Source organism: Homo sapiens, chromosome 12 (assembly GCF_000001405.40).
Source record: "Homo sapiens chromosome 12, GRCh38.p14 Primary Assembly".
NCBI classification, from domain to species: domain Eukaryota; kingdom Metazoa; phylum Chordata; class Mammalia; order Primates; family Hominidae; genus Homo; species Homo sapiens.
This window is the reverse complement of record NC_000012.12, coordinates 101,908,769-101,920,408: the sequence shown is the minus strand read 5'-3', so window position 1 is coordinate 101,920,408 and position 11,640 is coordinate 101,908,769. Positions and strand designations below refer to the sequence as shown.

Here is an 11,640-nt window from a genome sequence, read left to right as displayed (position 1 = left end):
GGATAAAAAGAAAGTGCTCTTTTTGCAGTGAGCCGAGATTGCGCCACTGCAGTCCGCAGTCCGGCCTGGGCGACAGAGCGAGACTCCGTCTCAAAAAAAAAAAAAAAAAAAGAAAGTGCTCTTTTTAAAAATGCAAAATGTCTTCTGCAAATTTTTACTAATCCTAATTGTCCGCAATTTAAAACATTTGAATTGATAAACACCTACCTGGAAATCTTGGATGAAAGTTAGGAAGTAGAAAATAAAACCAAAGGCCACTGTCCATTCACAGATCGCACTCACTACGTGATATACATAATCCTAATGCAATAATAAAGAAACAGAATTTAGCCGAAAAAGACTCACTTTAATGTACATACTGAAATACAATGAGGAGTTTCAACCAAAGGAAAAAGCTGTCCAGTGAGCATAAGTCAGAACTTTGAGGATATACGGTAAGCACAACCACGTTACTAAGTGTCAGGGCACCTGCCCACTGAGAATGCGAAGGCAGGTATTCCAAAGTTCTTTCTGGCTCGCACAAACTCTTGTTTTAAGATTTAGTTTGTCACTTCAAAAGGTAGACTAAGGACTGCAAAATGGCTGAGACTGGGAAGCAAATTTGGACTCAACAGAAGAAAGAAATTTCCATACAAGGCATGACTTGGTCTCGCTCTGCTGAGAATCCCTAAGTGTAAGGCTATGCTTAACAAGCACTCTCGCAGTTGTTCCAAAGAAAGTGTGTACACATCTAGATGAACTTGGCCAACTAGTCCCCTAGGTTTCGTGTTTCCCTGTTTATATAGAAATGATCATTCAGGAAATAGTTCTGCTTAACATCCCAAGGTAAATACAGCTACAAAGAAAATGCTAATAATGGACATCCACATGTTAACTGTATATCTTCTTGGAGGCAAGAATGGGAGAATGGAAGCCAAGGAGAATGGCTTCAATCAGATGTTCCAAACTCAGTTGCCTATGGAGGCCAGAAAATTAACAATAATAAATAAAACTGATGGTTGTGAAAAGAGAGGGAAGTTAGGGAGCCCACGCCTCATCAGCTCAATTCCATGGGAAAATAATACACTAGTGTTGCTTTCAAAGGGGTTTAAAAAAACAAAACCGTGTGTGTGTGTGTGTGTGTGCGTGTGTGTGTCTGTGTGTCTGTGGATGTGTCTGTGTGTGATATCTCCTGATTTTTCAGTGCTGGAAACTAATTTTAAAACTCTGTTGCAATGGCTCACACCTGTAATCTCAGCACTTTGGAAGGCTGAGGCAGGAGGATCACTTGAGCCCAGGAGTTTGAGACCAGCCTGGGCAACATAACGAGACAAAAAAAAATTAGCTGGGTGGGGTGGCCTGCGCCTGCAGTCCCAGCTACTTGGGAGGCTGAACTGGGAGGATCACTTGAGCCTGGGGGATAGAGGTTGCAGTGAACCATGATTGCGTCACTCTACTCCAACCTGGGTGACAGAGCAAGACTCTGTCTCAAAAATAATAATAATAATAATAAAATAAAAATAAATAAAACTCTGAGTCAAATATGCATGTCTGCATTCTGATGTTAGCTCACATGCCAAATGAGGCCTGGGGACTGTCAGTGTGCCCCCTCTGATTTCCTACGTCACTTTCTGCTCTGCTGAAATGAGCAACTACCCCTAACTCCCTACACCCCCATGCCTTCTGAAGCTGCATACATGGGCTGCTCTGCCCTTGGCATGTGCTGTTGAGGGCTGAGCCCACTGCTCTTCTACCCCAAACTGCTGTAGGCTACAAGGGTAAGTAAATGTGCTGGATCACAGGGCAGCTCCATGGTGACAGTTGTTTTCTTTGATCCTGTTTTCATCCAGACAGATCGAGTGGAGGCACACCAAGCCCTCCGAGCGTCACTCTTCACTCTCCTTGTCATGGTCACACTCACCCACTGTTTTCATGCTAGGTCACACCGAGGAGGACCTGACCAGCCTACAGTAGGAGATACAGAACAGAGGCTTCCTCCTTCTGGTACCAGTACCAGGGGACCTGCCACATCCCGTATCATCCCTGAACAAGGAAGATGGCTTCTAAAAATAAAGGCAGAACTTTGGGGGGAATTTCTTAAGCATGATATTAGTGAAAGTACATGGAACCAAGAGTCCTGAATGCAGGCAAAGCCCTAATATCCTTGCTATGTGAAATGAGACAGTGACATTATAATTCTCACCTCCCCCTACCAAGTAAGTCACTGCATATAAATGTGCTGTGAAAGCTGTAAAGCACTACACAGAAGTTTGAGGCAGTACCTAAATGATTATTCAGTGAATTAATGTAAAGGGAAATTTTTTTACATCCTTTGATATTAGGAACAGAAGGAAATGCAAGAGTGGCGCAGTCATTTATGGAGTGAATAGAAAACCATGTGCTTTTCACATTTTTAAGATAGAAAGTGGAATATAACAGATTTTTAACTGCCTGGGAATATACTTCGATAAGCCCTTCCCAGCAGCGGGTTTGTGATAGAAGGTCTCCCCCGAGTGGCTGAAAAGTAAAGTACACCTGAACTGCTCCGCTATGCGGTCTCACTTTCAGAAAGAGGTTCTCTCCAACGGAAAGAGGAACTGAACCCCCTTCGCATGATGGGGCTAATTCCCCATATATAAGAAAGAAAAAAACCTGCCTTTTGCCTAGGTCTAACCTATTGACGAATTTGACCATTTTAAGGTTAGATTTTAAAGAAGGCTTTTTTTTTTTTTTTTGAGATGGAGTCTCACTCTTGTTGCACAGGCTGGAGTGCATTGGCATGATCTCGGCTCATTGCAGCCTCCAGCTCTCCAACTCCTGGGTACAAGCAATTCTCCTGCCTCAGCCTCCCAAGTAGCTGGGACTACAGGTGTGTGCCACTACACCAAAAATTTTTTTTTTTTTTAGTACAGACAGGGTTTCGCCATATTGGCCAGGCTAGTTTTGAACTCTAGCCTCAAGTGATCCACCCGCCTTGGCCTCCCAAAGTGTTGGAATTACAGGCCTGAGCCACCGCACCCGGCCAAGAAGCACTTTTTGATCTCCTGTCTGGATCATTCTCTTCCTCACCATCTTCTGTCTCTCTCTTGTCTTGGCAGGCTTCCATTACCTGCCAGAGTTCTCCATATTGGGAAATCCTGCTGTCTCCTCTAGCCACCCTGGTGTTCCTCCTTTACCTCTTACCTCCAGTCCAGAACAGGACTCAATAAACATTTGGTTGATAGCTGAATGAAAGAACCATCCCTCTCACTATTTAACTTCTTGCCATTGGCTTCTAACCTCGGCGTTTTACTGAAACTACTTTTTGACAAACATCACTGACTCCCTTATTGCCCAAATTGAGGGACTTCATTCCTAAAGGCTATTCAGCTGCATATGCCATAGTTAGCCATTTCCCTTGCCTTTGAAAAATGTCCTTTAGTCTCTGGGATCGTATCTCCTCTCATTCCATCGTTAGGATTAATTGCTATTGCTTCTGCATTTCCACAATGTGTTGTCTGAAGTCCAGTTCAGCATTTTTTTATTCTTCAAAGTATTACATTTAGCCATTGACAACTGGCTGTTTGCCCCTCTGAACTATAAAATCCCTCAGGATCCTCTATCCCATGGCCACCCTGCCCTCTATAATCTTTCACAGTCTTGCATGTGGTAGGGACTCATCAATGAGGTCTACCATACAGCACAAGTCTAGTTCTTCTCTCTGGTCCATGATCCCTTTACTTCTCCTTTGCTGGAGGTATTCTTCCACCTGATCCTTGGGGGAAAGAATCCTCTGTCTCTCACTAACTCTCTTCTTTCCTGGGGCATCCTTGATTCTCCTATAAGGCGTCTAGATGAACCACTACTACAGGTATCTAACAGGATGGGTTGATCTCAATGTCAAACATTTGGTTCCATGTGTTCTGATGCTTGGTCCAAAATGTCCTGGTCTACCCCATACTCTAACAACTCTACCCTACACTCTGACGACTCCCAGTCCCACCAGAAGTCTAGGCCCACCGGAGTGCAAGTGATCCTTCCACCTCAGCTTCCCAAGTAGCTGGGACTACAGGCGCATGCCACAACGTCTGGCTAATTTTTGTAGAGGCAGGATCTTACTGTGTTACCCTGACTGGTCTTCATCTCCTGGACTCAAGCAATCCTCCTGCCTCAGCCTCCCAAAGTGCTGGGATTACAGGCATGAACCACAGCACCTGGCCTAGGCCCATGTTTCTAACCTCGATATCTCATCATATCCTCAGAATCATCAACTCTAACCAAACTCATCCACTTCCACCTACTAAATTATTTATCCCTGTTAGGGGCCTTATTTCTGGTCAAGGGAATAAATTCTTTGGTTCACCTAAGATAAAAACTTAGAAGTCATCTTTGATTCATCATGCCACTTCATTCTTGTGTTAATCATTTGCCAACACCCATCAGATTTCCCCTATTTGAAACGTGAACTAGTAGAACTGCCTTCTCCTTGCCCTCCTAATGCCAAGCTCTCCAAGCCATCCCAGGCATTGCTTCTGTCTAACACTCATCTAATAATACTCTTTCTATTTGCTTTACCGTTCGAAAGTCTGCAGGTTGGGCGTGGTGGTTCACGCCTGTAATCCCAGCACTTTAGGAGGCCAAGGAGGGCAGATCACGAGGTGCAGAGATCAAGACCATCCTGGCTAACACGGTGAAATCCCGTCTCTACTAAAAATACAAAAACTAGCTGGGCATGGTGGTGCACGCCTGTAATCCCAGCTAGTGCCTGTAATCCCAGCTATTTGGGAGGCTGAGACAGGAGAACTGCTTGAACCTGAGAGGCAGAGGTTGCAGTGAGCCGAGATCGCGCCATTGCACTCCAGCCTAGGCAACAAGGGCGAAACTCCGTCTCAAAAAAAAAAAAAGTCTTCAAAGTCTTACTCTGGTCACCTAGGCCAAGTACAAGCCTCTCTGCCTGCCTCTTACAGCCACTACACCCTTGCACAGTTATCCCCGGCTGCAGTGATTTCTCACTCTATCCTGAAATGAACTATCCACCACACTGGAGCTGGTATCATCCTCTCTACTTAACATTCCACGCTCCCTTTCACCACCAAACACCTTCATTCACACTGTCCCTCTACCCTCTTTTACTAAAGATAGATAGTTGAAGTGTTTAAGAAAGAAATTAAAGGCCAGGTGCGGTGGCTCACACCTGTAATCCCAGCATTTTGGGAGGCCGAGGTGGGCAGATCACGAGGTCAGGAGATCGAGACCATCCTGGCTAATACGGTGAAACCCCATCTCTACTAAAAATACAAAAAAGTAGCCGGGGGTGGTGGCAGGCGCCTATAGTCCCAGCTACTCAGGAGGCTGAGGCAGGAGAATGGCATGAACCCGGGAGGCAGAGCTTGCACTGAGTCAAGATTGTGCCACTGCACTCCAGCCTGGGCGGCAGAACGAGACTCTGTCTCAAAAAAAAAAAAAGAAAGAAAGAAAAGGAAGAAATTAGAGGGACGGGTGCGGTGGGTCACGCCTATAATCCCAGCACTTTGGGAGGCCGAGACGGGGGGATCACTTGAGGCCAGGAGCTCCAAACCAGCCTGGTCAACATGGGAAAAACCCTGTCTCTACTAAAAATACAAAAATTAGCCAGGCATGTGGCGCACGCCTGTGGTCCCAGCTACTCGGGAGGCTGAGGCACAAGAATCACTTGAACCCAGGAGGCAAAGGTTGCAGTGAGCTGAGATCACGCCACTTCACTCCAGCCTGGGTGACAGAGCGAGACTCTGTCTCAGAAAAGAACAAAACAAAATCAAAAATTAGCTGGGCCTTGTGGCAGGTGCCTGTAGTCCCAGCTACTTGGGAGACTGAGGCAGGAGAATCGCTTGAGCCTGGGACACAGAGGTTGCAGTAAGCTGAGATTGCACCACTGCATTCCAGCCTGGGCAACACAGCAAGACTCTGTCTCAAAAAAAAAAAAAAAGAAGAAGAAGAAGAAAGAAAGAAATTAGGAACTCAAAATTTTGAAAATACTTCCAGGAAGCATTTGGAATTACCCTGATAGCTAATTACTACATACTGCCAAATGATTGGACAGTAAATTGATTACATGCCATGTTTATTTGACATTTTGCAACTTGTTCTAAGGAACGGCAGTGATCTTCCCTATGCCTAGCCTGGCCACAAGCTCACATAACCACGTCCGACAACCACATTCACAACAACTTAAATGTTACCTTTTCTCTTGGATTCCACTCCAGCTTGGTTATGGAAATTAGTGAAGCACAGACAATCACTGAAAGAAGTAAACAGTTAAGGAAACTACAGCACACAACAGTTCCTTTAATGTTAAGACTACATTATTCTCCTAATAACATAATCATTATAAGGTGTTAAAATGTTAATACCAACATTTCTATCATCAATTAAAATGTTAATACCAACATTTCTACAATCAAACCAGTTATATTAGCTTCTTATAAACTCAAACTTCAAATTCAATGATGAGAGTTAAATCACAACACGGAAATACCTTCGCAATAGTTTTCCAGTGTGTATAGTAAAATTTATTAAAACTTGTCACTACATTTTGCACAACCCTACATGTTTCTGGATCTTCCCATTTAAACTAGCTGTTTAAATTCGGTCAAAATGACTGACGCAGCAGTCCAGGATGGTTCTTTTTGAATACTTCCCACTGAATAAAAATACTTTTTCCCTAAAATACTATTTTCCTTTCCTTTTTTTTTTTTTTTTTTTTTTTGAGACGTACTCTCGCTCTGTCACCCAGGCTGGAGTGCAATGGCGCGATCTCAGCTCACTGCAACCTCCACCTCCTGGGTTCAAGCATTCTCCTGCCTCAGCCTCCTGAATAGTTGGGATTACAAGCACCCACCACCATGCCTGGCTAATTTTTTGTATTTTTAGTAGAGACGGTGTTTCTCCATGTTGGTCAGGCTGGTCTTGAACTCCTGACCTCAGGTGATCTGCCCACCTCGGCCTCCCAAAGTGCTGGGATTACAGGCATGAGCCACCGTGCCCGGCCTAAAATACTATTTCCAAGGTAACAGCTTTAAGGAAAATTTTAAATTCCAAAGTGCCAAGGCTCATATACAAAAACAAGCTACAGAAACTCAAACTATTATCTTTAAAAAACAGACTTCTGTTGGGTAATTGGGTATAAGGTGAGCCCTTCCTTCCTGGACCAAAGATCTGGCAAATCAAAGAGATTCGCCCCATATCAGACTTCAGGGATGACTGACACATGCCTACAGTCCAGCCTAATAATGCCAGGGGCTGAGGCTCCTATCTTCCACCAGCAATACTTTCTGCATGAAGGCAGTGATAACCATTTTGATTGAACTTAGAATGCAAAAAAGAAAGCTAGAGAGAAATGGGATGCTCTAAAAAGTCTGCAAAATATTAGAAATTCAAAATGTTAGGCCGGGCGCAGTGGCTCACACCTGTAATCCCAGCACTTTGGGAGGCTGAGGCAGGCGAATCACCTGAGGTCAGGAGTTCGAGACTAGTCTGACCAACATGGTGAAACCCAGTCTCTACTAAAAACACAAAAATTAGCTGGGCATGGTGGCGTGCACCTGTAATCCCAGCTACCTGGGAGGCTGAAGCAGGAGAATCGCTTGAACCTGGGAGGTGGCAGTGAGCTGAATTTGCACCACTGCACTCCAACCTGGGCAACAGGGTGAGACTCTGTCTCAAAAAAAAAAAAAAAAAAAATGTTGAGCCAAGGAAAGTTTAGAGCCTCCTCTGAATTCAGAGTCAGCGTCATCTCTCTTAACTCCAACCCCCCGCAAATTGTGCAGAGTTTAATGCTTCTGATTCTCAAAATAAAAGAAGTAGAGAGCACAGAAGATTCTCTGATCATTTCATCACCTCACATCTGTTTCTAATAGTTTAAAAGCCTCTTAATTATTTCGTTTATTTATTCTTAGCTCCATCTTCAGTGCACCAGGTACCATTCTGGTCTGGGGGTGGGAGAAGGGAAAACTTGGTCTCAGCTCTCAGAAATATCACAACTTTGTTGGACCAGACCCAGAGAATGTACCATAGTAGACAGAAAAGAACTGGGTACAGCAATGACTGTAAGGGAAAATTATTAATTCAGAATGGAATGGGAGAAAGCTTCATTCAGTGAAACTTAATGTAAGTTGTGAAGTTTAAGGAGCTCTCTAGAGCAGCACCATCCCACAGAAATATGTGTAATTTTTAATTTTCTAATATCCAAATTTATTTATTTATTTATGTATTTGAGATGGAGTCTCGCTCTTTCACTCAGGCTGGAGTGCAGTGGTGTGATCTCAGCTCACCTGCAACCTCCACCTCCTGGGTTCAAGCGATTCTCCTGCCTCAGCCTCCTCAGCAGCTGGGATTACAGGTGCCCACCACCACACCTGGCTAGTTTTTCTATTTTTAGTAGAGATGGGGTTTCACCACGTTAGCCAGGCTGGTCTCGAACTCCTGACCTCAAATGATCTGCCCACCTCGGCCTCCCAAAATGCTGGGATTACAGGCGTGCCTGACCCCTAACTTAATTTTAATAATATATCTTATCTAACCCAACACATAAAAATATTGTCAATATAAGATATACATAATATGCAAAACATATCTTATGTATTGATAAACAACATACATCTTATTTAACTCAATATATCAAATAATATTGCTGATGATATCATTTCAATGTGTAATAATATAAAAAATTATTGAGATATTTTACTTCTGTTTCTTATCAAATCCTTGAAATCAGGTATATGTTTTACATTTAGGACACATCTCAATCTGGACTAGCCACATTTCAAGTATGCAAAAGCCACATGTGGGTACCATGTTGAACCAACAGCTCTAGCAAGACAAAGTGGAGGAGGATAATCCAGCCAAGTAGAGATCAGTTAAAAACAGAGGACAACAAACAACCAAGCCTGAGGGAGAAGCCCTAAAAACAAGGATGAAGAACTAGGAGGTCTCAGATCATGGGTCTGATGCAGAGGAACCTGGACTTTATGCTGTTGGTGAGTTCTGCGAAGGCTTTCAGAAGCTTTAGAAGCCCGGTGCAAGACAGATAATTCATCAGGAAAGGTTTAGAAGCAGGATTCTAACGTCTGCCTCACTAGGTGCCTCGGTTTCTTCGGTAGTCAAATGAGGCTATTATACAGAAATACTGCAGTAAGAAGAAACCAGGGCATTTTAAAGATGCTTTCAACTCTTTTTTTTGAGACGGAGTCTCACTCTGTCATCTGGGCTGGAGTGCAGTGGCACAATCTTGGCTCACTGTAACCTCCCACTCCTGGTTCAAGCGATTCTCCTCCTTCAGCCTCCCAAGTAGCTGGGACTAAAGGCATACGCCACCACGCTTGGCTAATTTTTGTAACTTTAGTAGAGATGAGATTTCACCATGTTGGCCAGGTTGGTCCCGAACTCCTGACCTCAAGTGATCCACCTGCCTCGGCCTCCCAACGTGCTGGGATTACAGGTGTGAGTCACCGCACCTAGCCTATTTAAAGATGCTGTCAATTCTTTGTAAGGAAATATAAATACCACACTAATGTTTAAGACAGAAGATCTTTTCGTGTGGATGAATTCATTCAAGTTAATCTGACATAGGGTTATAACCCCTTTCTGTATGGGGCTGCTTCCTGTTGGCATGACTTATAATAAGAACTTCCTAGAGGCCAGGCACAGTGGCTCACACCTGTAATCCCAGCACTTTGGGAGGCTGAGGCGGGTGGATCACCTGAGTTCAGGAGTTTGACACCAGCCTGGCCAACATGGTGAAACCCCCGTCTCTACTAAAAATATGAAAAGTAGCCGGGCGTGGTGGTGGGCACCTGTAATACCAGCTACTAGGGAGGCTGAGGCAGGAGAATTGCTTGAACCCGGGAGGCGGAGGTTGCAGTGAGCGGAGATCGCACCATTGCACTCCAGCCTGGGTGACAGAGTGAGACTCTGTCTCAAAAAAAAAAAAAAAACTTTCTAGAAATGAGAATTATTAGTAAGTGAAACTCTGAGGCCTGAAATGCTTATTTTGTGAAAACTCTCTGACTTTGATATCTAGGGATCTGTTTCCGAAGTTGGAAGCAAGGGAAGGTTTCCTGCATCAAGAAACTTTGCTTGTAACACTACAACCACTATTATGAATTTTACAACTAACACAAGATAAAATGTTGAAGGAGATATATTCAAAGAGAAAGTGTTCCTTTAACCTATAAGTAAGACAAGGGATTTGAGAAGCAACTATCTTAGGAACAAGGGTATATATTTTGTTGGTAAATTTCTCGGTACTAGGATTTGGCTACTCTGTGCCTGGAAATTTTGTAATTAAAAATGTCCTTCCCCAAGATGGAAGAAAACCCAAAATCATACTTAGACTTCACATTTTGTAGTTTCTATTTTAGAAAAGAAACACAAAGCTTAATATTTAGAAGCAAGTGATGTGTTTTCACTCCATCTTGCCCACTTTATACCGTAACTCAACCCAGACTAACAAAATTGCCGCCGATAACATAGTTCCGATTTTCCTACAATCTGACATTAGTCATCAATGTTTAATGACCCTGAAGCTTTCTCTGATATGACTACAGATGGTATTTTGAAAGATGGGGAACTCTGCAACTCTTTAAGACCACGGCTTTTTTTCTTTGTTAAATACTTCATTAAAGAAAAGAAAAAGGGAAAGAAAAAGCTTTCGTTTCCTCTAAATCAGAATCTACAAGCACGCTAAATTTATATTTTCATTTCCTTTCAGATTGCTGAGTTAGAAAATAAAATGGATTTCATTTTGAAAATGAAATCAGTGACTATAAAAAGAAAAGGCTAAACATATTTTAATTTACTCAGTAATAAGTGATCTAGAGCTTTTTAGAAATTTCTTCACATGAATGAGTAAATCAAACTGTCTTGCCACCTACGACGTGCAGGGAGGGGGAGAGTTTAGCCTTGAGGGACTTCGTGGGGCTATTACTTTGAGTACAATATCAATATTTGGTGTCTTTAGCCAAGCACTACAAAGAAAAATAAATATTTTCATATGGCTCATGAAACTGGCCCTGTGAGAAGGAAAGTAAACAGAGACTAAAGTGTTCCTACATTTTCCACCCTTCTTTCATACCATTCTTCCCCGCAAAGAGACTTTTGATCTAATTAGACAATGTTGAGACATTTTCTTAATGATCTACACTTTTTTTTTTGAGACGGAGTTTCACTCTTGTTGCCCAGGCTGGAGTGCAATGGTGTGATCTCGGCTCACTGCAACCTCCATCTCCCGGGTTCAAGCGATTCTCCTGCCTCAGCCTCCCAAGTAGCTGGGATTACAGGCATGTGCCACTATGCCTGACTAATTTTGTATTTTTAGTAAAGACAGGGTTTCTCCATGTTGGTCAGGCTGGTCTTGAACTCTCAACCTCAGGTGATCCACCCACCTGAGCCTCCCAAAGTGCTGGGATTACAGGCGTGAGCCACTACGCCCAGCTTGATCTACACTTTTATCCGAATTGTTTTTCTGAAAAAATGTGGAAACTTGGTTGTTATCCTTTGCTTTTTTTTTTTTTTTTTTTTTGGTTGTGGGGAAGGGAAGTGTCAAGCTTTGCTAAGACACGGTGACAAAGATCCTTTGCTTGGCTGAACTTTAGTCAAGCCCCTGAAACTTCTCCTAGGTCCATCTGTGCACTTCCTTGTAAGATC

At 43.3% G+C, this 11,640-nt stretch overlaps 1 protein-coding gene across 4 annotated transcripts in view; it reads right to left on the bottom strand.

The window, feature by feature from the left end:
- The window catches only part of DRAM1 (DNA damage regulated autophagy modulator 1), a 46,033-nt gene that overhangs the window by 3,204 nt on the left and 31,189 nt on the right, over positions 1–11,640 (bottom strand). For 2 of the 4 annotated variants that reach the window (NM_018370.3, XM_047429098.1), the window contains exons 5-6: positions 6,177–6,235; positions 208–300 (exon numbers count right to left, since the gene is read on the bottom strand). In NM_018370.3, the coding sequence (NP_060840.2) occupies positions 208–300; positions 6,177–6,235 (152 nt within the window). The remainder of the gene's footprint in view (positions 1–207; positions 301–6,176; positions 6,236–11,640) is intronic. The other 2 variants (XM_005269004.3, XM_005269005.3) reach the window with 2 other exon arrangements.